The sequence below is a fragment of the Homo sapiens genome, chromosome 21, assembly GCF_000001405.40.
Source record: "Homo sapiens chromosome 21, GRCh38.p14 Primary Assembly".
NCBI lineage: Eukaryota > Metazoa > Chordata > Mammalia > Primates > Hominidae > Homo > Homo sapiens.
In genome coordinates, this window is record NC_000021.9 from 43,919,334 (window position 1) to 43,946,673 (window position 27,340).

General features: G+C 56.1%; 1 protein-coding gene, 1 long non-coding RNA gene and 1 pseudogene across 21 annotated transcripts in view, besides 16 other annotated features; 1 reads left to right on the forward strand and 2 right to left on the reverse strand.

The window, feature by feature from the left end:
• The window catches only part of AGPAT3 (1-acylglycerol-3-phosphate O-acyltransferase 3), a 122,370-nt gene that overhangs the window by 54,111 nt on the left and 40,919 nt on the right, over positions 1 to 27,340 (forward strand). For 5 of the 20 annotated variants that reach the window (XM_047440916.1, XM_047440915.1, XM_047440923.1 and 2 more), the window contains one exon: positions 20,872 to 20,998. The exons of 10 other annotated variants lie outside the window; for them this stretch is intronic. In XM_047440916.1, the coding sequence (XP_047296872.1) occupies positions 20,872 to 20,998 (127 nt within the window). Of the gene's footprint in view, positions 1 to 6,064; positions 6,119 to 20,871; positions 20,999 to 26,572; positions 26,864 to 27,340 lie in introns of those variants that run through there. 5 more of the 20 variants (XM_047440920.1, XM_047440928.1, NM_001037553.2 and 2 more) reach the window with 3 other exon arrangements.
• Positions 279 to 1,178: an enhancer, noted in NCBI's record as "H3K4me1 hESC enhancer chr21:45339493-45340392 (GRCh37/hg19 assembly coordinates)". NCBI's record gives its function as "activates a minimal SCP1, AML or CMV promoter by ChIP-STARR-seq in primed H9 embryonic stem cells {active_cell/tissue: H9 hESC(primed)}" and the evidence as "EXISTENCE:reporter gene assay evidence [ECO:0000049][PMID:30033119]".
• On the reverse strand, positions 462 to 568 carry RNU6-859P (RNA, U6 small nuclear 859, pseudogene; annotated as a pseudogene).
• Positions 1,179 to 2,076: an enhancer, noted in NCBI's record as "H3K4me1 hESC enhancer chr21:45340393-45341290 (GRCh37/hg19 assembly coordinates)". NCBI's record gives its function as "activates a minimal SCP1, AML or CMV promoter by ChIP-STARR-seq in primed H9 embryonic stem cells {active_cell/tissue: H9 hESC(primed)}" and the evidence as "EXISTENCE:reporter gene assay evidence [ECO:0000049][PMID:30033119]".
• Positions 2,215 to 2,509: an enhancer, noted in NCBI's record as "tiled region #2423; HepG2 Activating DNase matched - State 5:Enh". NCBI's record gives its function as "activates a minimal TATA promoter and a strong SV40 promoter by Sharpr-MPRA in HepG2 cells {active_cell/tissue: HepG2}" and the evidence as "EXISTENCE:reporter gene assay evidence [ECO:0000049][PMID:27701403]".
• Positions 2,851 to 3,100: an enhancer, noted in NCBI's record as "active region_18557". NCBI's record gives its function as "activates an Ori minimal core promoter by ATAC-STARR-seq in GM12878 lymphoblastoid cells {active_cell/tissue: GM12878}" and the evidence as "EXISTENCE:reporter gene assay evidence [ECO:0000049][PMID:35858748]".
• Positions 2,851 to 3,874: a biological region, named in NCBI's record as "H3K27ac-H3K4me1 hESC enhancer GRCh37_chr21:45342191-45343088".
• Positions 2,977 to 3,874: an enhancer, noted in NCBI's record as "H3K27ac-H3K4me1 hESC enhancer chr21:45342191-45343088 (GRCh37/hg19 assembly coordinates)". NCBI's record gives its function as "activates a minimal SCP1, AML or CMV promoter by ChIP-STARR-seq in primed H9 embryonic stem cells {active_cell/tissue: H9 hESC(primed)}" and the evidence as "EXISTENCE:reporter gene assay evidence [ECO:0000049][PMID:30033119]".
• Positions 5,673 to 6,572: an enhancer, noted in NCBI's record as "H3K27ac-H3K4me1 hESC enhancer chr21:45344887-45345786 (GRCh37/hg19 assembly coordinates)". NCBI's record gives its function as "activates a minimal SCP1, AML or CMV promoter by ChIP-STARR-seq in naive H9 embryonic stem cells {active_cell/tissue: H9 hESC(naive)}" and the evidence as "EXISTENCE:reporter gene assay evidence [ECO:0000049][PMID:30033119]".
• Positions 6,573 to 7,470: an enhancer, noted in NCBI's record as "H3K27ac-H3K4me1 hESC enhancer chr21:45345787-45346684 (GRCh37/hg19 assembly coordinates)". NCBI's record gives its function as "activates a minimal SCP1, AML or CMV promoter by ChIP-STARR-seq in naive H9 embryonic stem cells {active_cell/tissue: H9 hESC(naive)}" and the evidence as "EXISTENCE:reporter gene assay evidence [ECO:0000049][PMID:30033119]".
• Positions 12,724 to 13,224: an enhancer, noted in NCBI's record as "H3K4me1 hESC enhancer chr21:45351938-45352438 (GRCh37/hg19 assembly coordinates)". NCBI's record gives its function as "activates a minimal SCP1, AML or CMV promoter by ChIP-STARR-seq in naive H9 embryonic stem cells {active_cell/tissue: H9 hESC(naive)}" and the evidence as "EXISTENCE:reporter gene assay evidence [ECO:0000049][PMID:30033119]".
• Positions 14,822 to 15,640: an enhancer, noted in NCBI's record as "H3K4me1 hESC enhancer chr21:45354036-45354854 (GRCh37/hg19 assembly coordinates)". NCBI's record gives its function as "activates a minimal SCP1, AML or CMV promoter by ChIP-STARR-seq in naive H9 embryonic stem cells {active_cell/tissue: H9 hESC(naive)}" and the evidence as "EXISTENCE:reporter gene assay evidence [ECO:0000049][PMID:30033119]".
• Positions 18,762 to 18,811: an enhancer, noted in NCBI's record as "active region_18558". NCBI's record gives its function as "activates an Ori minimal core promoter by ATAC-STARR-seq in GM12878 lymphoblastoid cells {active_cell/tissue: GM12878}" and the evidence as "EXISTENCE:reporter gene assay evidence [ECO:0000049][PMID:35858748]".
• Positions 19,090 to 19,990: an enhancer, noted in NCBI's record as "H3K4me1 hESC enhancer chr21:45358304-45359204 (GRCh37/hg19 assembly coordinates)". NCBI's record gives its function as "activates a minimal SCP1, AML or CMV promoter by ChIP-STARR-seq in naive H9 embryonic stem cells {active_cell/tissue: H9 hESC(naive)}" and the evidence as "EXISTENCE:reporter gene assay evidence [ECO:0000049][PMID:30033119]".
• Positions 19,348 to 19,747: an enhancer, noted in NCBI's record as "active region_18559". NCBI's record gives its function as "activates an Ori minimal core promoter by ATAC-STARR-seq in GM12878 lymphoblastoid cells {active_cell/tissue: GM12878}" and the evidence as "EXISTENCE:reporter gene assay evidence [ECO:0000049][PMID:35858748]".
• Positions 19,991 to 20,889: an enhancer, noted in NCBI's record as "H3K4me1 hESC enhancer chr21:45359205-45360103 (GRCh37/hg19 assembly coordinates)". NCBI's record gives its function as "activates a minimal SCP1, AML or CMV promoter by ChIP-STARR-seq in naive H9 embryonic stem cells {active_cell/tissue: H9 hESC(naive)}" and the evidence as "EXISTENCE:reporter gene assay evidence [ECO:0000049][PMID:30033119]".
• Positions 21,429 to 21,600: a silencer, noted in NCBI's record as "fragment chr21:45360643-45360814 (GRCh37/hg19 assembly coordinates)". NCBI's record gives its function as "represses an EF-1alpha promoter that drives an FKBP-Casp9 reporter gene in an ReSE screen in HepG2 liver carcinoma cells {active_cell/tissue: HepG2}" and the evidence as "EXISTENCE:reporter gene assay evidence [ECO:0000049][PMID:32094911]".
• Positions 24,501 to 25,344: an enhancer, noted in NCBI's record as "H3K4me1 hESC enhancer chr21:45363715-45364558 (GRCh37/hg19 assembly coordinates)". NCBI's record gives its function as "activates a minimal SCP1, AML or CMV promoter by ChIP-STARR-seq in primed H9 embryonic stem cells {active_cell/tissue: H9 hESC(primed)}" and the evidence as "EXISTENCE:reporter gene assay evidence [ECO:0000049][PMID:30033119]".
• Positions 26,070 to 27,181, reverse strand: LOC105372826 (uncharacterized). Its single transcript, XR_001755079.2, has 3 exons — positions 27,142 to 27,181; positions 26,726 to 26,831; positions 26,070 to 26,420 (listed from the first exon to the last, which is right to left on the reverse strand). It is a non-coding gene; the product is annotated as an uncharacterized LOC105372826 (long non-coding RNA).

Below are 27,340 nucleotides of genomic sequence, written 5' to 3' on the forward strand. Positions count from 1 at the left end.
TTATATCACTCTATGTTTTTGCGTTCTCATAGCTTAGCTCCCACTTATAAGTGAGAACAGTTTTTGGTTTTCCGTTCCTGAGTTTCTTCACTTAGAATAATGGCCTCCAGCTCCATCCAAGTTGCTGTGAGACATTATTTTGTCCCTTTTGATGGCTGAGTAGTATTCCGTGGTGTATATGGACCACGTGTTCTTTATTCACTCTTCGGTCCATGGATGCTTTAGGTTGGTTCTGTATCCTTGCAATTGCAAGTCATCTTGCTGCAAACATGCATATGTCTTTTTCCGCTCATGGCTTCTTTTCCTCTGGTAGATACCCAGGAGTGGGATTGCTGGATCGAATGGTGGATCTACTTTTAGTTCTTTAAGGAATCTCCATGCTGTTTCCACAGTGGTTGTACTAGTTTACATTCCCACCAGCAATGTAGAGGTGTTCCCTGTTCACCACATCCATGCCAGCCAAAAATGTGGAATGCTTCACGAATTTGCATGTCGTCCTTCTGCAGGAGCCACGCTAATCTTCTCTGCCTCGTTCCGGTTTTAGTACACGTACTGCTGACGCAAGCATGGGTGTCTCTGTTTTCTTCCCAAATAGTGTAAAGATCTTGGAGCCGGGACTTTGGTTCCATGGTGTTTTCAAACCGGCTTTCCTCATGTGTGGGTGCCATGCGGGCGTCTGCATCTCCATGCTTGGAGTCCGCGGGGGGTCTCCAGACAGGATCCTGGTTGTCACCTGAAGCTTGGAGAAGGGACAGGAGTGCACTGCAGGCGGGGGTGTGACCACGTCCGCACCCCTCCCAGAGTGCGAGGCTGTGTCTTTTTAGTCCATTTCTTCCCCCACTGCATGCTGGGACACTCATCATGTCTTCAGCCCTGTGTGTGTGTGTGTGAGAGATTGTGAGTGAGTGTGTGTGTGTAAGGGTGTGTGTAAAGCGTGAATGTGTCAGTGTGAGAGTGTGTGTGTGCGTGTGAGTGTTGAATGTGTGTGTGAGTGTGACTCGGCTGAGAGGAGACAGCGCAGCTGGGCAGGTGATGCTTGGTGAGTGTGATAGTGTGATGTAATCAGAAACATACTTTGGTCTCTGGCCCTGGCTCTGGGCACACAGCTCCTACAACCTTTAGTGCTGAGTGTCTTTTTTTTTGCTAATGAGGTGACTGTGGCTGGGGCTCCAGGACAGCCTCCTGGGGGACTGGTTGCCAGGGCAACTGACCATGTAATTAGAGGTTGGGACTCCACCCGTGGACCTCTGGGGAGGGGAGGGAGCCCGCAGAGGTGGAGTGGATCACCAGTGGCCGGTGTTCTGCTCGATCGTGCCTGTGTAATGAAGCCTCCACAGACTCCCTCAAGGACAGCGTTTGGGGGCTTGCAGGCTGCTAAGCACGGGGAGGTTCCCGGAGGGTGGAGCCCTGGGGAGGGTACAGCAGCTCCGAGCTCCCTGCCCCATACCTCACCCTGTGCATCTCTTCATCTGTATCTTTTGTAACATCCTTTATAAAAACCAGTAAATGAGGCCAGGCGCGGTGGCTCACGCCTGTAATCCCAGCACTTTGGGAGGCTGAGGCGGGCAGATCACGAGGTCAGGAGATCAAGACCACGGTGAAACCCCATATCTACTAAAAATACAAAAACTTAGCCGGGCGTGGTGGCGGGCACCTGTAGTTCCAGCTACTCAGCAGGCTGAGGCAGGAGAATGGCGTGAACCCTGGAGGCGGAGCTTGCAGTGAGCCGAGATCGGGCCACTGCATTCCAGCCTGGGCAACAGAGCAAGACTCTGCCTCAAAAAAACAAAACAAGACAAAACAGTAAATGTGTCTCCCTGAGTTCTGTGAGCTGCTCTGGCAAATTAATTGAACCTGAGGGGGAGTCATTGGAAAGCCACCCTGTAGCTGGTCAGTCAGAAGCACTGGACACTCCTGTGCCCTGGACACCCCAGGCCTCGCCCTGTGCTCCTCTCCGCCCAGCTGTCCATCCGGATCCTTCATAACACCCTTTATAATAAACCAGTAGACGGTGTTCCCAGAGTTCTGTGAGCCGTCCTAGCAAATGATCAAACTCAAGGAGGGCACCGTGGGAACCCCAGCTTAGCCGGGTGGTCAGGAGCACAGGTCACAAGCTAGGATCAGCATCCTGACCCGGTGGTCAGGAGCACAGGTCACAAGTGGGGCAGTCTCCAGGGCGAGCCCTGGCGCCATGGGATTTTCTGATGCCGAAATCCCCACCCGTTTTGGTGAGCAGAGCATTCTGTGTTGAGTGTTGAATGTGGGGACAGAAGGAAAGAAGAGTTTGTTTCCTGCGGGTGAGACTCTGGGCTGCACCAGGTGATGAGCAGCCCTGGAGCGCTTGTTAGTTTTGTGGTGCCTTTGAAGTCACTTCGCTGGGTCCGCAATCAAAAGCCGGGGTTGGTGGTGGTTCTTTTGTTAATCAGTAATTAGCTCCACACTGTTGATTCTCTGAGCTCTTTTTTTTTTCCCCCAGGGATAAAGCGTTAATTACTTTTTTAACACGATACTAACCTCCTGACAGCCTCCCACCCCAAGCTGGGTGTCTGGGGACGGCGGGCCTGTCTCCCCCACCAAGGTGTGGGGTGAGTGTGGAGAGGACATTTCACAGCTCCCCGGGGGTCACCATCAGTGTGAGTGTTGGGACATTCTTTTCCTGATTTCTCTGTCTCTCGATGCCATTTTTGTGAAGGTTTAGCAAATACTTGATAGATTGTTGTGAGAATGTGGGCTTCCTTATTTGGGGGAGATTTTTTATAATGGAAAAGGTTTCCTTTTTTGGAAGTCACCTGGGGACGGGGATGAGTCACCCGGGGGCCTTGGTGCATGTGGAGGCCCAGGCTTGTGGGGGAGTCGCACAGAGCACGTGTGTGATGCATTTATCAGGGCCTTTCTCAGCCTGGGGACGAGGAGTGGATGTGACGGAGGAGGCTCCTGTTCTTGTGGGGGTGGCGAGGCGAGGATGGTGAACACATCAGCAAACAGGAAGCGTGGGGGGAAGCGTGCGTGCGAAGGAGTGCAGCCCCCAGGACGCTGGGCCGAGCCAGGCAGGGACCTGCTTCAGTCCTCGAAGGAGGCTGCTGGCTTGTGACCCTCCTTAACCCCACCCTCAAGGCAGGCAGCGAGTGGAGGAGAGTCTCCCTGGGACCCTCCTTAACCCCACCCTCAAGGCAGGCAGCACGTGGAGGAGAGTGTCCCTGTGTCCCTGGAAGAGAGGCCTGCATGGCAGGGGGCACAGAGACTCTGGGCCTGGGTCCCCCCCGGCACAGTCTGTGACCTGTGACCAAAGGCTGAAGTCTGGGCTGGAGCTACCTGCTCTGTGGGAAACAACAGTGTGCTCTGGGCTTCCATGGGGTCTCCCAGCTCAGGGGCTGTGGCTCAGGAGCCATGTGCCAGGCAGGGCACTCCGTCAGTGTAGGGTCTCCCAGCACAGGGGCTGTGGCTCAGGAGCCACGTGCCAGGCAGGTCACTCCGTCAGCATAGGGGCTGCCATGAGGATTGGCTGCATTTTTTCGCTGTGTGATGTGACTGGCTGCCCAGTGGTGGTGGCAGAGCCAGCCTGGGGTCTGGGCATGGGGCGCCTGTCCCCAGCGGGGCGGGCTCTGGGGTGCGAGCGTCTGTTCTGTGTCAGGAGTCCCTGTTTCTTTCTCCCCATGCTCACACGGGGTTTTTAGACTTTGTGAAGGGTGTGCTTCCCAAAGAAAACCAGCTGCAGGTGTCTGTGCTGGCACAAGGAGAACAAACCCAGAGAGCACTGGGTTCTTTCCTAGAGGGGATGGAATCCAGCCAGGCGTGCCATGAGGCTCGCAGCCTCGGGGACCTGTGCTCACCAGCACACCACCAGTGCCCAGGGCTCCTTGTGCTGCAGGAAGGGACACTGGCATGAAGTAGGGGGTGGGGGGAGTCGCTGTCTGGGGGGCACTCCATGTACCTCCAGATTCATGCACTCGGGGACCGGGCAACGCCTCGGGAAGCAGCCTGCGCTGATGTCAGGATCTATAGTTTAATACTCGTTAGTTTGTCCCCTGTGAAAAGGAAAGAAAGATTTTCTCCCTACTGCACTCTCATACTCAACACAGAACACTTCTGCCGTGAGATGCGTGGATGTTTCCCCACAAGCAGTGCTCCAGGGCACCCACCCAGGCGCCCTCCAATTCCATTGAGTTCTGACGCGTCAGATCCCCCAGGGCCAGGGCCCAGTCCCACAAGACTGCCCCACTGTCAGATGCCAATCCCAGGTTGTGATCCATGACCCAACTGGCTGGAAGCTGGGGTTCCCATGATGCCCTCGAGTTTGAACATTTGCCAGGACAGCTCACAGAACTCAGGGAAATACCAGCTGTGTCTGCTGGTTTCTGGTAGAGGGTGTTACGAAGGATCCGATGGACAGCCAGGGGGAAAGGGGTACAGAGTGAGGCCTGGGGGATCCTGGGTACCAGGGCTTCTGTCCCTGGGGAGCTGGGGTGCACGGGCCTCCCAGCATGTGGGTGAGTTCACCACCCTGAAGTCCATTGTACAAGAGTTTTGAGGGAGCCTGGTCTCCAGCCCCTGTCCTTCCTGGAGGACGGCAGGGGGCTGGGGAGTGCTGTCGAGGGCCCCGCAAGTCTCCTGTCACTCAGGTGAGATTGAAAGGCTTGTTAGGAGTAACAGTAGATGCTCCCATCCTGTAGGAAATGTAAGGTGTTTTTTTTGGTTTTTTTTGAGACGGAGTCTCGCTCTGTTGCCCAGGCTGGAGTGCAGTGGCGTGATCTCAGCTCACTGCAAGCTCCACCTCCTGGGTTCACGCCATTCTGTCTCAGCCTCCCGAGTAGCTGGGACTACAGGTGCCCGCCAGCACGCCTGCCTAATTTTTTTGTATTTTTTTTTTTTTTTTAGCAGAGACGGGGTTTCACCGTGTTAGCCAGGATGATCTCAATCTCCTGACCTCGTGACCCGCCCGCCTCGGCCTCCCAAAGTGCTGGGATTACAGGCGTGAGCCATCGCGCCGAGCCAGGAAAATGTAAGGTTTTAAGAACTTTGTACAAGAACCAAATAGAACAAAAGATGCTCCTGTCACCCTTCCCACTCAGGAAATTACAAGGAATTTATGAGCTTTGTGTCAGGAACCAGGGACTAAGACCAATAAATACCTGCTGCTTATCACACAGCTCCCCAGGTCCGCTCCCGTGAGGAGCAGGCTCTGCCTTTGCAAGCACTTTCACGAACAGCAGATCCATCTTCCTCCTGTTAGCAATCAGGCGGTCAGGGTGGCGGCCACTTCCCTGCCATGCCGCAGAGACCCTGACCTCCTCCGACATCATGCTCCGGCCCCGGCTTCTGTCCTAGCTGTGGCTCGCTGGTCTCGAGATGGCTGCCTTGCCCCGGCTGTTTCATCTGCATTCCAGGCAGGAAGGTCGAGAAGGGCACGCCTGGGCTTTTCTTTTGAAGACTCCCCCTGAGCCCCACCCTGCCGCAAGGGGCTTGGGCTGTCACCCTGTGGGCTGAGTCCAGGGCTGCCGTGTTGGAGAGGCGTGTGGGAATGTGCGTTTTGGGATGGCAGCCCGAGCCTCCTACAACTTGGCAGAGTTGTCAGGATTTCAAGCCCCGTGTGTCTTTGACCTTTTACCTGAGCTGTGTGAGAAGAGGCATTTTCTTGTTTCTTTGCGAGTCCTTCCTCACTGCACTTCAGCCAGGGCGCCGACACATGGTCGTTCGACTTCTGGCTTGGCCTCTTTTGTGAGTGTGGGGCCTGGTCATATCCTCTTGGTCAGTGTCTCTGTGATGATGAGAACGGGAAGACGGCCACGGTGCCCACCCTGGCAGGACTCTCTCCCCTCGCTGGCGCTGGCTCAGCTGCCGTGAGCGGCCGTAGGCACTGTCCCGGGCCCTCCTGTGGTTGCTCCCAGCCATGCTGCTGGCTGCTTCTGCCGTCCTGGCTTGCAGAGACTCTGGGTCATGCGGGGAAGAGGGCAGAGTCCTCCTCCCTGCTCAGGCAAGAGAGGATCCAGCAAGATTTCTTCCTCCCCACCCTCCTGCCCCTCCCAGTCTGGGCAGCAGATAAAAGCCAGGGCCCCACACTTCTGCCACCTCCTGCTGCTCACACACTCCAGCCAGGGACCTGCCCCCGGGGTCCAACAAGGTAAGGACAGCGGGGCTGCCCCTGAGCAGAACTCTCTTTCTTCCCTGGCTGACTTTGAGGCACCTGAGTCATTGTGGGTAGACAAAAGGGGGAGGGAGAACGGGAGCTTGGGGTCCTGGTCTCAGACCCCATGCTGTCTCCAAGTCTGTGCCCTCTGGGCTGGACTCTTCCTCAGCCCCAGCCCCAGCGCCTCCAGCTCCGCTCTGTCCCCTCAGGGGGCATTGACCCCTTGTAGCCCCGTGGCTTGTTGCCCCTGCACCCCATAACCCTGTGTTGACTTGGGCACCTGTGACATTCATGCATCTGGCCTGCGCCTGTCTCCAGCGCCCACATTCCCACACAGAGCTCTGTCAGGACGTGCCACAGCAGGACTCCCAAGTCCATTCCACCTTCTCCGTCAGGGCAGGCCAATCCTCGTCTGCTGCAAATGTCCTGGGAGTAACAAACCCAGAGCTGGCCTCTCTGGTGTGGTGGCCGCCGGCGCCATGTAGCTGCCTGCCCAGGAGAAGCGGCGAGGCCCACGTGTGAGGCCCTGAGAGCTGGAAATAGGTACTGGATTTCAGTGTCCGATGGAGAAGTCTGTGATATTTTGGATATGTTGGATTAGGTAAAACACATCGTTAAAGTTAATTCCACTTTTCTCTGTGTTTTACTGTGGCCACTGGAGCATTCAGTGGTACGGTGGCTGCGGCTTGCCTTCTCCCGCTGGGTCAGCACCAGGGTACAGGTCATCTGTAGACTTTTGCCTGAGACACAGACGCCTGCTTGGGACATGGACTCCAGCTCCTCAGCCCTGTCCTCCAGCAGCGGTGAAATCTGGAGTGTTCTTGAGTAACGCACTGGCGCCAAGGGGGTGCTGAGCCTTCGCTCTGCCGTCCTTGGCTGAACAAGCTGTTTCTCTGGGGACCACGTCAGGTAACACGTAGGACAGCGGGGTGGTCCAGCAGGGAGGGCATGCGCATCTGTGTGGCAGGACTGGGGGTGATTTTATCCGGGATCCCCTGGGGTGGCCCAGCGTTGGCTCGGGTGTTTCATTCTCACAGAGAACAGGCAGCTTCAGGGGCCACGCGTGCACGAGAGGAGCCCCCAGCCCCCACGGCGCGTTCCTGGGTTTCCATGCTGCGGCATTTAAGAAAAGAGCTCTGTGTCGTGCTGCTGGGGTAGCTTCCGTGAGCTACGCTGGCCTTTTTTTTTTTTTTTTTTTTTTTTTTTTTAATAAAAAGGAGGGCTGGGCATAGTGGCTGATGCCTGTAATCCCAGCACTTTGGGAGGCCGAGGTGGGTGGATCACTTGAGGTCAGGAGTTCAAGACCAGCCTGGCCAACCTGGCAAAACCCCGTCTCTACTAAAAACACAAAAAGTTAGCTGGGCGTGGTGGAGCATACCTGTGATCCCAGCTACTTGGGAGGCTGAGGCAGGAGAATTGCTTGAACCCGGAGAATTGCTTGAACCCAGGAGGTGGAGGTTGCAGTGAGCCAAGATTGCACCATCTCACTCCAGTCTAGGCGACAGAGGAAGACTCTGTCTCAAAAAAAAAAAAAAAAAAAAAAAGAGACAGGGTTTTGCCATGTTGCCTAGGCTAGTCTCAAACTCCTGATCTGCCTGCCTCAGCCTCCCAGAGTGCTGGGATTACAGGCATGAGCCACCAGCCAATACCAGATTTGAACAGTGGTCAGTCCTGGGGATGGAGACGGGGTGAGGGCTGAGCATTCCCTTCTGACCATGTACCTCGTCTTGGTTTAAAATTTTTACAGCAAGGTGTATTACTCTCTTTTATAAAATATCATTAATTTACAAAATCTTGTATTTTTAATTTTTGTGGGTACATAGTAGGTATATATATTTATAAATTTACAAAATCTTTAAAAAAGAACCCCACAGAGTTAAAAGTTGGAGTGTTTTTTGCTTGAAATGTTCTATTGCAGCTGAAGGACTGGGTGGGTCTGTCTCCCCCAGGCTGTGAGGCTATCAGGGCTGGTGCTCCAGGTTGATTGGAGGGCTGAGTTTTTGTTTCTTCCCAGTCCATTGAGACCTGATTTTAGAAGTTAGCAAAAGGAAGCTCTGTGTCAAGTGCTCGGCACCTCTCTGCTCTTCCCGTCTTAAATTGCAGCAGGCTTCTTTCCAGCTAGAGGCTGAAGTGTTCTCAGCTGATGGGAAACCTCCTTTCCAGTGAAGATGTGAGATAAGCACTTTGGTTGGGTTTTGATCCTTGGCTCCTATCTGTGGGAGCAGTGACTTTGTGGTGAGATGGCCTGGGTTTTGAGTCCTGATTCTGCTACTGACTGGCTGTGTGGCTCTGGGCAAGCTGCTGAACCTCTCTGTGCCTCAGTCTCCTCATCTGTAAGGTGTAAGGGCTTCCATGAGGAGCAAATGTGTGGGGCCACAGAGCTGCCAGGTCAGGCCTGGCCTGCAGAGGGGCCTGGTGAGGGCGACCGACGTGCCTGGGGACAGGTACCCCAGCCTATAGGAGGCCACACAATTCAAGTTAGAACGCCTTGCCCCAAATTCTGGAACTCTTTCTGTTGGTGTTGGAGGAGAACACACCCTCCCTCTCCAAGGAGCTGGGCCTGTTGCATCCTGGCAGGGCTGACGTGGCACCTGCTGCCCCGTGCCCTGGGAAGCTGAACCAGCCGGACGCAGCTCCCGGACGCAGCAGAAACGGAATAACCACTCGGCCCACCGGAAGCTGTGATCCTTGCTGGACGTGGAAGTCTCCGCTGCACAATAAGAAGCGACGGTTTCAGGCAGGCCAAGGGCATGATGGTTTCAACTCCAGCCACAGGGGCCCTCTTCTCCGGGGCCTGCAGGTGTACCCCTGCCCTGAGTTCGACACGGCCACTGTTTTGAAAATGCCTGCTCAGAAACGCTGACACAGCGTTAAGGAATATACACACAGGCAAGGTGGCAAGCCCCGTCATTCCGGGGGGCAGCCGAGTTCTGTTTCCCCACCCCGTCACCCCGAGGGAGTGAAATAGGGTAAGGTTCACCAAGACATTCTGCAGATCAGCGTGGGCAGCAGCACTCTGGAGGGTTCAGTGCCTCCCGCCTGGGGACAGAGGCCTCTGCTTCTCCCGACCCGTAGGCTGCAGTGATCCATGCAGTTCACTGCTCTGTCTGAAGGTTTGACTTAGGTTTTAAGTGTTTTTACTCAGAGCAAGCTGATACATGCGCATTTTAGTAATCGTGATAATTGTTCCAACAGATTTCACGTCTGAAACTACATCTTGTTTAGAAATCACTTTCCATGTAGGAGTTTTCCTTCTGGGATGCATTTCAAGCTGGGGCACTCGCTACTGGAGACGTCATCGGATTTACTGAGGAGGGTGTGTTTGCGTGTGTTTGGCTACCTACGGATACTACAGATGAGGCGCTGTCTAATTTTGTTTCACAATGAGCTGAAATTTATCCCCACACCAATCCTCTTTTTGCCCTACGGAGTTTGTGCCTTGGCCCCACCCTAGGTGGCTCCGGCAGGTTCCTCAGCTGTGTGTACCCACCACCCCCACCTTGTCTGCACGTGACTGTGACTGACTTTAGGAGGCCACACAATTCAGGAAGCAGAGTGTGCCACCCTGGCCAGACATACCATATTTTGAAAACTCCGTGCGTTCTCGTTATTTCACTGTGAGGTGCCTGAGTGGCGGGGCCCCGATAGCCAGTCCCCTGTGACCTTCAGAAGGAGGCCACTGCTCCCGTAGTGGGTGCCTCATGCGGGTGGGGAGCTCTGTGTGCCCACCTTTCATGGAAGCAGGGCATGTACAGCCGTGTGGCGGCAGCAACAGCGTAAGATGGTTCCGACAGGCTCCAGAGCACAGGAGACGGGCCTGGCTCTGGGCCGCATGCGGGCTTGTGTGCTTTGTTTGGTTTGCATAGTAACCCGCGCCCTGTCCCCATGTGGATTGGAAGGACACTCTGTCAGCCGCTCCCTGCCATCACCACACACTCCTGGAGCCTCTGCCACCACGGCCCGTGCTGACCCCAGAGCGAGTCAAAGCCAGGAGCCTTCCCACGGTGGGACTTCTATTTTTATGTGTGTCCTTATTTGTTTATTGAAAGATGTGAAGGGCAAGTGGGATTGGCACACAGAACAAGACGGTGCCGCCTGCTGGCCACAGCAAAGCCACCTCCCCCGGTCGCCGCTGTCCTGGGCAAGGCCTGGTCCCTGCAGAACCGGACACGGCCTGCCAGAGCCAGTGTGTGTGGCAGGACAGGGGACACCTGCAGAGGCTTGGCCTGTGGATGCTGCTCCTTACTGGGATGGAGGGAGAAGACGCGGCCCACATTCCTCAGGCTGGAGGGTGGGCAGGATGGGCAGGAGCTGTGGGGCCCGTGAGTGCTGGGCCTTGACCCTCTCTGTTGAGGTCCTGCCTGTGTCACTGGCCTGGGGACAGCTCCCGCCTGGCTGAGTGCCGAGCTAAATCCAGGTAGACAGGTTGGTGAGATGGCGCTCCCAGCGAGCTCACAGTGTCTCATTAACCTCATAAATGCAGCGGACACTGGGCTGCAGGTGACAGACGCGTTCTCTGGAGCACCGACAGCCCAGGCGTGCCGGAGAGAGAGGACTTGAGTGACTGTCCTCCTGGAACCCAGGGTGCCTTGTCCTGGCACTTCTGTGTACATCATCCAGCCCCGTTTTCACGTTCAGGAAGTCACGAATCCACAGTGTCTTTGAAGAAAGTGGGGAATAGAGTTATCAACCGTCACTCCACGGAGAGTCTAAGGCAGAGAGAAGTTGGGTTCCCCTTCCACGGTTCCCTGCCCCCGGGGACACAGTTGTGGGAGGTCTCAGGGCAGAGACGCCGCACGGTGGGGTAGGGGGCTCTGGTGCCAATACCAATGCAGCCCGGTTCCCTGTCCTGGGCCTGCCAGTGACTTTGTGGTCCTGGGCAGGATTATTTTCAGAGGCAGTGGAGCTAGCGGGGCAGAGCTGTGCTGAGCGCTGAGGGATCATTTGTGTAAAGCACCTGCCACTGAGTGTGACCTCAGGGTTGCCCGTGCGACCTCAGCGTGGCCCATGGGACCTCGCTGTGGTGTGTCTCAGCAACATCATCTTTCTTACTGTCCCTGTTCTCTGGGCCTCTCTCAGACCTTGGGGACAGCAAGCTCTGCCCCGTGAACTCAGAGGCTGCAGCTCCTGATTGTGGGTGTCCACAGTGGGCAGGCCTGGCGGGGTGAGGGTGGGTGGGTGTTTCTGTCGGGATGAGGGGAAGGCGGGGATGAGGTGGGGGTGCACACCTGGGCTGAGGGGAGCAGAGGGAAGCAGGGCTTGCTGGCACATTCCCAGGGGGCTGCTGTAGGGCCAGTGTCCCCTCCTGGGGTGGCAGGAGGTGGCTCCTCACGGTGGCCGGGGTGGCCCACGGCAGGCCAGTGTGCGGTCCTCAAGCTGCTGGTGACAAACGCAAGGGGCCTGCTGCCCTGTCCCCTCGGGCGGGCGCCACTTCCTTCCTGCATGTTCCTGTTCCGCATTACAGATTGTTTTTATGGCCCCCACTACGTGAGATCCTGGGGCAGGGGCTGTGGGGGCTCTAGAGTGGGGGTGAACGCACGTCTGAGGCTCATCAGGGACTCAGCGTGGGGCCCTGGGGTGGGTTTGCCATTGCCTTTTCTCGAGGGCCCCGTGACTGGACAGCCCAACTGCTCTCCAGGTCAGTTTTCTTGTCCAGACCCGGGGTCAGGGCGGACACTGGATGAGGGGGAGTGTCAGTGAGGGAAACAGAGACCTTTTAGAAATGATGTCACACTGACACCTGTGTGCTGGACCTCCCACGTTCCCCGCATCTGGTGCTAGTGACGTCCCACTGCTGGGGTGAGGGAGGTTAATCACACCTGGAGTTTCGCTCGGTCACTGGCATGAGAAAGGAAATGTGGAATCTTCATGGGGTTTATCTGAAGAAAGATTTTATTGACATCCTAAAAACACTCTATTTTATGTTGTAGCTCTGAGGAGGCCTCCAGGAAATTGAATCAACATACTCGGTTCTTCTCTTTTAATATTTTTGAATAAATCATTAAGTTTTCATGTCCAGGGAAATAATCAGGAGATATTATATTCCTATGACATTTGTTTGGGCGATATGTTCAGATGAGCTTTGTTCTTCTTAACCTTGAAAAAGAGATGTGGAGGTAAAAACCGAAGAGCGACGTGGAGTAGGACGCCACATCGGCCCCGTTAGTGCGACTCCCAGGCAGAGAACTGCCGCGTGCTTCAGCTTTGATTGACACTGAGCATCCCCAGCCACCGGCACTGTCGTCAGTATTCAGACAGTGCAGCTCCCGTTCATCAGAAACACCACCAGAAGGGGATTTTGGCAGAGGTCTTATGCCAAAATCCATTATTTCAAAATAAGTAAAACCATGATTCTAAACATTCTAGGTTTGCTGTAAAGAGCATGATGAAAAGCTCCAGCTATCTCAATGTTCCATACAGGTTGAGGTTTTGTTTCCGTTCTGCTTTTTACCTGAAGAGGATCTCGTGTGTGTGTGTGTGTGTGTGTGTGTGTGTGTGTGTGTGTGTGTCTACCTACCTACTACCTATTTGTCATCTATCTATAATTGACAAAATATGATTGTGTATATGGAGTACCATGTGATCTATGTGTACATTGTAGAAAGATTAATTAAGCTAATTAACATAGCTATCAGCTCACCAACATCGTTTTTGGTGGTGTGGATGTTAAAAATCTATTCTTTCCCTGATTTTGAAACATGATACGTTATTGTTAACTGGTCGCCACGCAGCGCGGCCGATCACGAACACGTCCCTCCAGTCTAACTGAAACTGCTCCCTTTGATCAGCACCTCCCCTGCCCGTCCTTGCCCAAGCCCCCAGCCCCTGGTAACCACCGTGCTCCTCCCAGTTCTGGTGAGACCTCCGTTTCCGATTCCTCGTGTGAGTGAGGTCGTGCAGGACTTGTCGTTCTGTGACTGGCTGATTATCCACTTAGTGTCGGGTCTACCACGTTTGTCTGTGATGTTGCCAGTGACAGGACTTCCTTCTTCCTTATGGCTGAATAATAACACGGCGTTACGCACCGCACGCTCGCTATCCATTCGTCTGTTGGTGGGCACCTGGGCTGCCTCCATCGTGTGGCTGTTGGGGGTGATGCTGCAGTGAACATGGGCGTGCCGGTGTCTATTTGACACACTGATTTCAGTTCCTTTAGATACATACCCAGAAGTGGGATTGCCGGACCTTATGGTAGTTCCTTTTGTTTTCTTGAGACGGAGTCTTGCTCTGTCGCCCAGGCTGGAGTGCGATGGCACGGTCTCGGCTCACTGCAAGCTCCGCCTCTTGGGTTCAAGCGATTCTTTTGCTTCAGCCTCCCGAGTAGCTGGGATTACAGACGCCCGCCACCATGCCGGGCTAATTTTGTATGTTTAGTAGAGATGGGGTTTCACCATGTTGGCCAGACTGGTCTCGAACTCCTGACCTCAAGTGATCCACCCGCCTTGGCCTCCCAAAGTGCTGGGATTACAGGTGTGAGCCACCGCCCTGGGCCAGTAGTTCCATTTTTGACTTTTGGAGGCACCTCCAGATGGTTTGTGTAGTGGCCACACTGATTGACGCTCTCTCTCCCTCACAGCGTGCCAGGTGCCTTTTCTCTGCGTTCTCGTCAACACCTGTTACATTCGTCTTTTTGATAATAGCCAACTGAACGGCATGAAATGACACCTCCCTGTGGCTTCGATTTGCTTCTCCCTGATGGTTAATAATGCCGAACAGCTCTTCGTTAACCTGCTGGCTGTCGGTGTGGCTCCTTCTGAGGCACAGCCGTTCGGGTCCTTTGCTGTTTGCTTTCTTGCTATTGAGTCTGAGCCCCTTTACCCTGTGGATGCTGGGCCTGCATCGGGCATGTGGTCTGCAGGGTTTTCTCTCCCTTGCGGGTCGTCTCTTTACCCTGTCGTTCCCTTTGTCATGCAGAAGCTGTTTAGTTTGCCGTAATCCCAGTGGTCTATGTTTGCTTTTGTCGTGTATCTTTTTTAAAGCTCTGCCATCTGTTTTCTCCATGGGGAAAGGTTTGGGAATATCGATGATGTCATCATACTCCTGGCTGCTTCTTGACATTTTCCATGCCCAGCATTGTTCTCAGTGCGCCCCGGGGGTCTTTGGTTCTCCATAGCCTGCTGGCGTCCATGTGTTTTTATTCTTTCTTTATGGTTGAGGAAACTGAGGCACAGCTTGGAAGCGGTTGGCACTGGGGTTAGGCTCCAGTAGTCTCGGCATGTAGCAGCAAATGTGGGAGGGGCAGCACAGGGGAAAGGTGAGGGGAGAGTCAGGAGAGAAGGACGCCGCATACCAGATGCCCAGAGGCCCCGGCGGCCTCCATCCAAGCACAGGCCCAAGCACCAGCTGCAAGAGCCAGAGGACGGCACTCCCGCGCCTGCCACGAGCCTCACGTGGAGAGTGGACAGTGGCATGGAAACGCCAGAGGGTTAGAACTGAGCAGCAGGACGGGGTCTGTGGGTGCACGAGAGGAGGCCCTTGGTCTGGAACAGCCTGGGGTCCCCATGTGCTGTCACTGTGTGGACTGGCCACACCTGGTGTGCCGCTTCCTTTCTCAGTCATGGCCAGCTGCCGAATGCCGTACCAGGGCAGGGGCAGTGGAGCAGGTGTCTGCCCTACATTGCTCATCCTTGGTAGTTTGGGTGATGAGGTTTTGAGACCTGGATGCTGGAGAACAGGCAGACATGGGTGCCCGGCACGCCAGCTCCCCGAGCACCAGCTCCCCTGCCGAGCACCAGCTCCCATATGCCAGTCCCCTGAGAACCAGCTCCCTGAGCACGCCAGCCCCCCAAGGACCAGCTCCCACACACCAGCCCTCTCACCGCGGTGTGCCTGTCCCCACCTCCCAAGGGCGGAAGGAGGGGCCTCCAGGCCTCGTCTTCCTTCACTGTGCCCATGCTCAGAGATGGTGACTTCATAAGAGGCCACAGAGGCTCCGCAAGTCCCCAGGCCGTCGGCTGCCTGGCCCTGGCCTGCGTGGCAGCGCAACCTCGTTGGTAGAGTCAGGAGGCTGGGCCTCCACTAGGATGTTATACAGGCAGCATGGCTTAGGTGTCAGAGACGGGAAAGGACCTGGAAGAAAAGAACTGTTTCCTTTAGGCCCCGTGGGGTAACCAGAAGGTAAGACTAGGAGGTGTGCGATGGTGATGGGGCGGAGGAGGGGACAGCGGGAACCTGTGGAGGGGCGGGCTCAAGCCCTGGTCGTGAGCAGGATGACATTCAGATAGCTGGGAGCACGAGGAGGCCACGTGCCCATGGTGGAGGAGCCACAGCACAAAGCAAGCCACGCCATGCCACCCACGTGCTGCCATATCACATCACGCCACCCACGCCACTCACACGCCACCCATGCCACCCACACCACCTCTACCCCTCACGTCACCGACGCCACTCACATGCCACTCACATGCCATTGACACGCCACCCACGCCACTCACATGCCACCCATGCCACCCACACCACCTCTGCCCCTCACATGTCACCCACGCCACTCACATGCCACTCACATGCCATTGACACGCCACCACGCCACTTACGCCACCCACGCTACTACCCATGCCACCCATGTGCCGTCCACCACCCACGCCACCCACACCACTCACATGCCACACACAGAACCAGTGTGGAGGCTGGACAGGGGGGGCTTCTCACCTGAGAGCGTGAGGAAGCAGTGGGGAGCACCTGGCAATTCTGGAGAGCTCAGCCAAGTCACCAAAGTGCCGTGCCGCGCTAGCACGCTTTGCTGTGCGGGCATCGGTTGTGTCACACACTGGGCCGTGTGGTGGCCTTGCGTGGTGAGGGAGCAGGAGGCAGGCTCAGGACACACCACAAGAGCAAATGTCAGAGCTGGGACCCAGGGGCAGCACCCTCCAGTAGCAGCACCCAGATCCCGCCTCTCTCCAGCCCCGGGGAGGCTGAGCCGGGGTCCCCAGCTGGGAGTGCCCCCAGGCGCCTGGCCCTGGCAGGCATGAAGCCGTTCAGGAGGAGGGCAGGGCCAGCATAGGCCCCACAATGTCCCCACAGTTTTTACAGTGAGAAGTGGCCTTAGAGGTCAAGTCCAGGAGCGGCCTGCAGGGCGGCCTCTGCACGCAGTACTGGGCATCGGCGCTGCTGCGGAGCTCGGAGAGACCTGAGGCCGGGCCCACAGATGCTCACTGCTCGGTAGGGGCATTCTGGGGCCTCAGGGCTGGGTCTGCCTGGCATTTGGGGAGTCTGTTATTCAGACATGGAAAGGGAACGACTCTCCCAGGAAGGGATTTTTTTTTTTCCTTATCACGAGAAAGGCAGTGACCCAGGCGTGGGGCAGGAAGGACAACCTGGCTTCATCATCACAGGCGGCCACGGAGGAGCTCAGACTCAGGCCCACAGCACCTCAGCTACTCTGGAGATTAAGGAGTGGAGAAGCCTCAGCCAGGGCTCGGGGCTTGGGGCAGTGCCCTGGCTCTCCAGGTGCGCTAAGCAAACAGATCATGCCAGGCTTTTTCCCTGATGGCGGCTCGAGTCGGAAGCCAGAGTGTAGAACAGTAGCGGAGCCCGCCCAGCTGTTCCTAAGCAAGGCCTAGGCCCCACTGCAGGGTCACACGGAAGGCTCACATGCCGCAGCCCTGGCCCCCACACCTGCAGCTCGGGCACCCCTGGGGACAGCCGTGGTGGTCAATCTGCTCACTTCAAAGAGGGGGAGCCAAGGCCAGAGAAGTCAAGTGACCTGCCAGGACCCCAGCTCTGCAGCCCAAAGAGTCCAGGACTGAAGCAAAAGCAGGGAGAGGGGAGGACAATGCAGCCCCAGCCCCTTGTGCCTGACGTCACACCAGGCTGGCACCAGGCCTCCAACCCCAGCCGGGTTCCTCAGCCTCCCCTAGCAGTGGCGAGCACGGCATTGTTTACCGGGGGCTGTGGACTTTTCTGTGGGTGCACCTGCAGCGTTCGTCTGTCTGAGAGCAGACTGCTGTCCTCCGTGGGGCCAGTGCCTCTGCCCTCCTGGCACACGGCCACAGTGCCTCCCTCCGGAAGAATGGCCTGGGAGTCAAAGCTGCAAGTTTTAGTTGTCTCCTCATGTACAAGGATTTCTCCGGCAGAGGAAGACACAGTGAGAGAATCAGGTGGCACGCCGGTAATGCCTGTGTTGAAAGACCTGCTCGTGAATGAGCTCTGCCCCTATAATACTTCTGTTCTATCACAGCCGAAAAGCTCACCCGACTGCTGCCCACAGAGACTTCAGATACCTTGGCAAAAACAAGACATCCTTTCCTTTTCCCGACCGCAGCTCTTGGATGGAGGCGCAGAGGCCTAGTGCTTCTGAGTGGAGCCATGCCTGGCGCCAGCCTGGCTCTCCCGTGTCAGCTCCGCCTAAAGCGGCTCCCAGGCCTCTGTGCCTCAGCGAAAAGGGCTTCCCTGTGTATTTGCAACTGCACGGCCTGTTTCCTTGCCCTAAAATTTGTTAAAATCTTCAAGATGTGAACAAGCTTTTTTCCTCTTAAAAAAATGACATATTTAGAAGTAGGCTGTGGGTCCCTGGGATGCTGGTTCCCCCAAGTATTTTTCTCTAATAGAAATCTTTGGTTTTGTTTTTAAAAGGAATTCTCCATTCACGTACTGTTCTGAATGGTAGCCATGTTTGCTTTAAGATAAAAGAACACCCCGCCTGCAAACCTGAGTGGGGCTGGCACTCCTGGGTGGGGGAACGTTGACCCTGTGGCTTCCTGTGGCCCTGGAGAAAACTCAGGCTTGCTGTTATCACAGGGGTACCCATGAGTGACTTTTGGATTTTGGGAAATGCAAAGCATGTAGATAAGAAGTTGGTCCCTAGATATGTGTGAGTCCCAAAGGCCCACTGGGTGGGGCGCTGGTGAATTGAGCTGAAAGTAGCAGAATCTGCCTTGAGCTGACCTAGGTGGGAAGCCCCAGGGGTCAGCTCCTCTACGCTGGCCTTTGCTTGGCTTGGCGGAGGCGCGCAAGGCCCCTGACTATATCTGTTCCTCCTCTGGGCCACCCTCTAGGTTGCTTTCCACTGCAGGCCTGTCTCCTTGAGGTGACATCGTGGCTGCCTCTGCACCAGCCATCACAACTTGATACAGATAAGTCTGATGTCAGGAAAAGGGAGTTTTTTTTGTTTTGTTTTGTTTTTCTGGAGACAGGGTCTCCCTCTGTCACTAAGGCTTAAGTGCAGTGGCGCAATCGTGGCTCACTGCAGCCTTGAACTCCTGTGTTCAGGTGATCCTCCTGCCTCCGAAAGTGCTGGAATTACAGGCGTGAGCCACCATGCCTGGACAGGAAAAGGGAAATTTCTTTTTGCAACCTTTTGTCAGGGGCTGAAACCTTTCTGGAAGCTCCAAAAGACTCCTTTCTCTCTCTCATTAACTATCTCTAAGGCAGTCATTAGGACGCATCCCATGAAACCAGATGACTTCTGCATAGCCATTGCCTTCTATACCTCAGGCAGGTTCTTGTTAGAAGAAGTGCCAGGCAGAGGTTGTGTGGGCAGCCAGTCATATTTGCATATTTTGGGGTGACTGTGCAGACAGTGCTGGACCAAGGAAGTTGTCTGGGTCCTCGCTGCAGAGGGAGGAGGAAGCAGCTCACACGCTTGCTGTTGTCTGGTGGGAGGGCTGCATTTCTCCTCTCTCCCCCACTTTCTCTCTCTCTCTCTCTCTCACACACACACAGACACACACACACACACACACACACTCACACTCACTGTTGGGTTTCTTGGGCTGCTAACAGGATTAAATGAATGTCTTGGTTCCATGATGTGCATGTTACGCTAGAGAGCTAAGTTAGTTAACATCGCTCATTGGGATAGAAGGAACGTACTGAGGAACGTACTGAGGATTAGAAGTCAGAATTCTTGAATCTGCAAATCTTTTTTTTTTTTTTTTTTTTTTTTTGAGACAGAGTCTTGCTCTTGTTGCCCAGGCTGGAGTGCTCACTGTAACCTCTGCCTCCCGAGTTCAAGCGATTCTCCTGCCTCAGCCTCCTGAGAAGCTGGGATTACAGGCATGCTAATTTTTTGTATTTTTAATAGAGACAGGGTTTCACCATGTTGGCCAGGCTGGTCTCAAACTCCTGACCTCAGGTGATCCACCAGCCTCGGCCTCCCACAGTGCTGGGATTACAGGTGTGAGCCACCGTGCCCGGCCTGCAAATCTTCTATTTTGTTCAGACACTAACTCCAGCCCTATAAATAGTCATCCAATACTTCCAGTAAATGGTGCGCCTCATATTGATCTGCCTGGTTGCCTTACCGTGTTTGTTACATTGCTGTGTAACGAGTTACCCACAAACTTAGCAGCGAAAACAGCAGACATCTATTATCTCACACAGCTGCGGAGGGTCAGGAATCCAGGAGTGGCTTAGCGGGCGATTCTGGGTGTCACGTGGAGTCACATGGGGTCAATGTGTTGGCCGGGGATGCAGTCACCTGAAGCCTTGTGGGGGGAAGGAGGGGCTCCCCCAGGCCTGGGAAGGCTGCGGCTGCCCCATCACGCTCTCTCCTCCACCAGGTTCACAGGTTCACAGAAGTAAAGGCTGAGCATGTCAGGACTGAGCTGAGCGGTTCCCACCTCTCAGTCCACAGTTTCCCACAGAGCACGCAGGGGCCGCACCAGGGCTGGGACGGGGCTGCGACCAGGCTAGGGGAGCATCCTGGGCAAACCCTGCTGGGGACAGGTTCGTTGTGTCTGATGCCGTGGGAGATGCACGAGCAGTGACTTTCACTTTATCCCACTGTGGCCCCGTGACCCTGAGCGAGAATGCACTGGCCGGGCCTCCAGGGGGCGCTCCCTTAGGAACACCCCATCCCCGTCCCCGTGTGCTGTCGAGGGCCTCTAGCGGGCGCTCCCTTGATAACACCCCACCCCCGTCGCTGTTGTTGTCGGGGGCCTCCCGCGCCCCAGGAGGTTTCCCAGGGCGATGCTCTGGTCCCTGGGTCCTTTGATCTCATCTCCCTAGTTTAGCCTTTGAACTCCATTTCAGATTGAGAGGTTTCAGGCTGGAGTGACATGGAGGGACGTGCCTGACTTCTGGAGGATAAGAGGCGGCCCACCCCACAGCTCTTCCAGCGTGGGAGCTCTGAACATGGGACCCGGAGCACCACCGTTTAGCAAACCTTGCTGCAGTTTGGAGAGAGTGTCGCGGGCGCCTGGCCTGTCCGGCAGGCTGGGTGGCTGTTCTCTGTTGAGCCCACAGCCATGCCCCACATGCAGGACGTTTGCCTATCACTTGGAGGCCTTTCAGGGATCTTGCTAGCCCACGGCTGAGCACAGGGTAGACCTCACCAACTCACCCACAACCTGGCCCCTTGACACACTGGTGCTGTGAGGAGGAAGATGTGGGCACTCTTAGGTCCCTGGTCCTAGGGGTCTGTGCTGGGGTGGGGCTCGTTGACCTGCATCCTGGCTGGCCCTGTGACTCTGCCTGTTTACAGTGAGCAGCTCCTGGCCAAAAGCTGCTTATTGGATTAGCCGGTGCCCCGACGGCAGAGCCCGCAGCTGTGCGCAGGAGGACGAACCTGTGTGTATGTCCTGCTTCAGCGCGCTCCTGGGGTCCCTTGAGTTGGTCTCTGTGACTAGAAGGACAGTGCTGGCCACGCAGGTGGCACCCTGGGGGTGCCCAGCACCCACTTCCTGCTGAGCAGATGCTCTGGGTGGCAACGGCCCCTGCCAAGCCTGGGCAGCTCAGGCCAGGTCCTAATCCCTCCGCTTGAGCTCGGCTCCTCACCCTTTGGCCAGGCTGACACCTGCTCCCCGCAGGTCCTTCTCGCCGGCTTCAGGCAGCACAGGACCGAGGGCTGAAGATGCTGAGCAGCTACCCGGCCTGCCTCTTCTCAGGGATCTGTGTGGCCCTGCTGGCGGTGGCTTTGGCCTATTACTTCTACTGGTGAGTGAGGCCGGGGCCCGGGGGCCTGGGCAGTCCTGGGGGCCTTTACTGTGTGCTCCCCTCCTCTTCCAGCCCTGGACCGTTCTCTGCATGTCAACAAACCCTGCCTAGCCCTTTGCAGGGGAACTCCTGGGAGGTAGGGAAGCAGGGGATGGCAGGAACTCATTCTGATCCCTCCTGGGGTCCTTGGGCAGCTCTCCCATCCTTCTGCAAAGGGGTTTTTGTTCAGAACATTCCTGAAGGAGCTGAGCGGTTTCATACCATCTGGGCGGTGTTTGTAGATGCCTGGCATGTCCTGGGACGGACAAGTGCCTGATGTATGGGCACAGACTCCCACTGCCCCCCAAGGCAGGTGCTGTAGGATGGCTGATTTACATGGTGATCTGCACCCTGAGCAGAAAATGCGTAGTTACCATCAAAGTGGCGCTGCTCTGTCACACCCATTGCCTGATGGGCTGGTTTATGGTGATCGCAGGCGATTTCCCAGCTGCCCTTGACCAGAGTCCGTGCCGGCTCTTACTGCAGAAGCCGAGAATCAGCAGGTGTCACAGATCACGCTGGCCTAGGATTTCAGAGACTCGGTCCCAACCCCGCTGTGTCTCCGGGCTGGGATTAGATGGGGTGTTTGTGCTCCAGGCCTCCAGTGCTCGTTGGTAAAACGGGACACTGATGCCGCCTGCTGTTTCTGCAGAGGGTCAAAGGGCACAAGATGCGTGCCAGCCTCTGTCCATGGGGTGTGTGATGATGGTACCAGGTGGTGCAGGGGGCAGCTGGGGGGACCCAAAAACCCCAAGTCTGGGTGCCAACTTTATTTTCTAGAGCCGGAGAACGAGGTGATTTCCTAGGAAGAGACCACAGCTCCCCTGGAGGTTCCACGCTAGACTGTGTTTGTTTTTCTTGGTGCACACTTGGCCAGGAGCTGCTTCTCTCTGATCTGGAAGCTTTCTCTTCTATAGATCCGATTAATGCACTTCCATTGCTAACAGCGGGGAGGGTCACTGCAGGTGACACAGGCAGGAGGATGCCCAGTCTTCCCCATGACTCAGTTTATGTAAAAACGATCAATACTATTTACAAAGAGGTTTACCCAGAGCCAAAAGACAGAATCCTAAGGCTGAGGCAGGAGGATCCCTTGAGCTCAGGAGGTCAAGGCCACAGTGAGCTGTGATTACGCCACTGCACTCCAGCCTGGGCAACAGAGCGAGACCCCATCTCTAAAAAACAAACAGAACCTAAGTGTGGAATTTAGGAGACAAATTAGCTTGGGATTTGGGGCCTCTGAGAGTTTGAGCAAGGGGGTCGGTCATTGGTGAGGGTTCCAAAACCCCAGGAGCAACCGCTCACTCATCCTCAACCTGGGGCTACCGCGAGTGTGACGGGGGCCATGTATACAGGGCAGGCTGGCCCCAGCGAGCGGGCGACTCTGGCAGCTTCCACGGACCGTTCCTGGCGCCTGGGCGGAGAAAGGGTATCAAATCATTTCCTGGGATTCGTGGCTGAGCTATGCAGTTTCACAAATGCTCAAAATGATGAAAGACCTATTAGGTGTTGGGAAAAGAGCGCCTCTGTCTGGGAAGAGTGCCGCATTGCGCCTGAGCAGCTGCTCGTAATTGGCTTATGCCAAGCCTCTCAGCTTCAGCCTGCTGACCAGGTGGCAGGGGACTGGCTGTGCCACCTCCTCACCCACAGCGTTTCCAAGGATGTGCATTTCTCCTTTGCCCTCAGGTCTTCAGTAAGTTAGCTGTGGAATTCGAGGCCTCAAGTGGTGGCCTGCGCCGTGGCAGCGTACCCACAGGTGCCATTTAGTGGCACTTGCAGTACGACCTGGGAGCTTCCGGAACCTGTGGGCTTGTGAGGTCCCTGTTGATCCTGTTTGACCTGGAGGGCCACAGAGGCGGCTTGGTTTTTTTGTGGGGACAGAGACGTTGAGCGTCACGGTGGGTGCTAGGCCTGTAATAGGAGCGATTCTGCATTGATGGCACCACGGGTCCAGGGAGGCCTCGCCAGCTCCCTCCCAGAGCAGGAAGGCGGGCTGGCCACTCACCAGGAGCCTGGGAGTCTGGCGTCCTTCACGAGGCGCTCCTGAAGCACCTCTGCCTACCCTGCATTCGCCACACGTGCCCAGGTACCTGGCGACGGACAGCAGGGAGCCCACAATGCCAGCTCTTCCTGGAGACGCCCGCCCCTGCGGTGGCCACTGGTGTTCAGTATGTGACTCTCTGAGCGTGGGGTTCTAGACCAGGAACCCTCTGTGCTCGGTCCACATGAAAAGAGCAGCTTCTCGTTCATCTTCAGAGACCTGTTCTTAATGGGCAGCAGGGGCTCCGAATGCTGAGAAAACCCCACAGGTGGCAGCTGGGTGCCTGGCCCTGCAGCCACGCCTGCCCGCGGTCACCCTAGGGTGCAGCGGTCACCCTGGGCTGCTGTGGTCAGGTGGGGTCTTGTCTTTAGCCCCCTTCGGTGGCTCACTTGGCGGGAGGAGGGTGGCACGGCGGTGCCATTGCCTCATCTGGGCTCAGGGAGACAAGGCAGGACCTCTGTTCTGTCTCCCGTCACCTGTGTTGTATACAGAGAAAAAGCCGTCCTGGCAGCCCTCAGAGCCCCTTGCCTGTTGGGGATGGAGGAAGACAGGCCTCGGAGCCTTGTTCATCTGGCATTTCCACAGCAGAGGGAGGGAGGCCCGCTCCCCAGGGCTGGGTGGCCAGGGTGCATGGTCATGCTGGGACATCATTTTCTTTTTTTCTTTTTTTTGGTGGGGGGCGGGATGGAGTCTCGCTCTGTCGCTCAGGCTGGAGTGCAGTGGAGTGATCTCAGCTCACTGCAAGCTCCGTCTCCCAGGTTCACACCATTCTCCTGCCTCAGCCTCCCGAGTAGCTGGGACTACAGGTGCCGGCCACCACGCCCGGCTAATTTTTTGTATTTTTAATAGAGACGGGGTTTCACCGTGTTAGCCAGGATGATCTCGATCTCCTGACCTCGTGATCCACCTGCCTCGGCCTCCCAAAGTGCTGGGATTACAGGCGTGAGCCACTGCGCCCACCCGGGACATCATTTTCTACTTGTAAACCAGAAACCTCCTTCCTCCCTCCTGCCGTCCCATAGGATTTTATCGATCACCTACTGTATACCAGGCACTGGCTAAGCCCTGCACGCACAGTGGTGAGCAGGCAGTCCTCACCCTCCTGGGGCTCGATTTCCCAGAACCCTCAAGAGAAAGCCAGTCCTCAGGGGTCAGCAAGTTCCACATTCAGCTTCAGCTTTCGGCCATTCCTGCCGCCAGGCCACGCTGAGAGTCTGCCGGGGCACCTCGGTTCCCTGCGCCTGGCCTGCCAGGCCTCAGCCGCCACGGCCTGTGTCACGGAGGAAGGGGGCTGCAGCTGCACCCCCGGGAGGGGAGGTTGGAGTCGGGGTGGGGCGGGCCGCGTGCTGTTGGTGTAGGGTGGGCGATGGCAGTAGTGGCAGCTTATTACCACATCAGGAGAGGCCGGAGCGTTTTCAGCAAGGTCAGAAGCCTGCGCTGTGTTTAAAATCAGGGCGAGAGGGAGACAGGGAGGGAACGTTCCGCCGCCTAAACCACTTTCCCGCCGCATCTTTCACCTGGAGTGGAGGGGCAAGTGCCTGGGCCCAGTGGTGGCAGCTTCGGGAGGGTTCCATGAGGCTGCCTCGGGAAGCAAGGGTCCCGGCAGAGCTGGGTGTTCTCCTGGGCCCCCTCAGGACAGCAGCATCCACTTCAGGCGCCGCCTCTCTAAGGAGCCACACCTCCCTCTCGGGCCAAGTATGGAAACGAGCCACAGCACCACGTGTGCTAGGGCCCCAGCATTTCACCCACGTGGCAGAATCTGTGCCCCAAATGTCACAGCCCCTCCCCACCTCGGAAATGCAGGCTGAGTGGAGGCCCCGGCCCTCGCCACTCTGGAGCGATGGCTATTTCAGGCTCCAGGAGGCCGCTGAGTGGTTCCCGGGCTGGCCCTGCATTGCGGCTGGGCAGGGGCCACACGTCCCTCCCCCGTGGGCCCTGGGTGCCTGGAATCTGGAGCAGAGAGAGAGAGGGAAGGTAACAGCGTGGCCTGTACATCCCTGCCTGCAGGCGCTGGCCTTGCTGTCCCTGGGTGCTGCCTGTGTACTCCAGGGCACTCTCTTTCCTGGAGAGGAGGCCGCGGGAGTCATCGCGGGGCAGATCCTGGAGGCCAGCAAGGCCGCCCCTCCTCCTAAGTGGCACTGATTGACAGGGGAGAAAGACAGAGGCTTGTTCCCCAGAAAAGCACAGAAAACCAGCCTTGTTCCTCAGACAGGAGATGCATGTGCCGGGAGGCAGGCAGGGGGACGGCTGTGCTCGGCCTCTGTGCAGTGGGATTATTAGGGACAAATTCCAGAACAAAACTTGGGTTTCATCTAAGCTTTTTGGGGATTTGGGGAAAGCAGAAGAAAAGAGGGAGCCCAGGAGGAGGTCAATACACCGTGCCAGGAAATGAGGAAAAGCTCAGATGTGCAGTGTCAGCGCTTTTCCATGAATCACCTCTTACCTCTAGAACAGCAAGTGCGGGAGGTGTCCAGGTGCGGGGGGGCCACGTGCCCTCAGGGGCTTCCCTCCCCAGCCCGCCTGGAGACATCATCACTGACTCAGCTCCGGCAGGCAAGGGTCCCTCGGGGTCTACCACTGGGATTGACGCCAGCAAGTCGGACCCTTTCTCAGAAGCCCAGAGGGAGGGCAGAGCCGTAGCCACAGTTTGGAGGCATCTGCTGGGCTAGTGCATGTTTTAACAGCACCTATGACAAGGTGAGGCAGCATGGGTGGCCCTGCAGGTGGCGGTTTGCATATGTGCACATCCAGCCAGCTCCGTTTTCCAGTCTGGGGACTATGGTGACAGGAAGTAAAAAGCCTGCGATTTGGCCTACGGGGTCCCAGGGTCATCCCGGGGTCGCACCTTGGCTACCAGGCTTGAGGGTTCTGTGTGCGATTTCAGGAGAGACACACAGCCCATCGCACACCTGACAGTTGTCACCCTAAAGAAAATTCGGCTGAACTGTGCACATTGGGGAGCATTTTCATTCACATTACACATTTCATTTCACTTCACGTTTTATTGGTTTGAGTAATGGTTTAGAAACTATCTTTTACTTCAAAATGTTTGTGCATCTGAGATTTTCTGACTTTATATCTGGACAGGGCGCCGTAATGGTAGACGATGGCCGAGGTTCAGGGAACCCTGTTTCTGTGGTTCAGGACAGGTCCAGCCTTTCTGAGCCCTGTCCCCGCAGAGAGCCCCCTTTCCAGGCACCCGTGTCTTGGGTCGCCGCTGGCCCTGTGAGGTGACACTCTGCAGCTCTTGCACTGTCCAGGCCAAGGGTGGCTGTTCTGAAACCTACTCGGTTTATTCCATCTTGAATCAATGCATTTTTTCAAGTCCGTGCCTCAGGGTGCCTGTAGAATGACAGATGTGGCATTTCAATCGGTAAATAATGAGTACACCTTTAAGGTCCAGGCACTCTTTGTTTAGAACATTGTGGAATGCCTACATCATCTCATGCTTGCACAGGAGCGTGGCTTTGTCAGAACTCATCCCCAGGCAGCCCTGTGGGCACCTGGTGGGGGCTGGACAGGGGTCACGAGGAGAAGCCAGCAGGAGGGTGGTGGGCCCTCCACCTTGTCCCCGCAGGACTCCCCTCTCTGCCCAGACACACTCAGCCTCCACCAGGACTCAGGGGTTCCAGCCAAGCTCCTCTTACCAACGATGCCCCGTGACTGCCCCAGGGACGGGAGGGCTCAATGCCATTCCCCTGCAGGCCCTGTCTCTCCCCAGCTTCCAGTTGGTTGTCCTGCAGCCTCAGGTCTCTGATGGGATGAAGCAAAGTCGAGAACTTACGGTTTGTCTGGCTTTATTCTTGTGAGAGTGGGAGTGACAAGCTCTGTACATCCCCAGCAGAAACCAGAATTCCACCTCCTACATAACTTTGTAAATTGCAAAATATAATGAAAAGTGCATGAGGCCAGGCACAGTGGCTCACGCCTATAATCCCAGCACTTTGGGAAGCCGAGGTGGGTGGGTCACCTGAGGTCAAGAGTTCGAGATCAGCCTGGCCAACATGGCAAAATCCCTTCTCTACTAAAAATACAAAAATCAGCCAGGCGTGGTAGCCCGCACCTGTAATCCCAGCTACTTGGGAGGCTGAGGCAGGAGAATCACTTGAATCCAGGAGGCAGAGTTTGCAGTGAGCTGAGGTCATGCCACTGCATTCCAGCCTAGGGGACAAAACAAGACTCCTTCTTAAAAAAAAAAAAAAAAGTGCATGAGACATTGATGACCAGTTTAATGAATAAGTATGCAGCAAATATCCATCTGT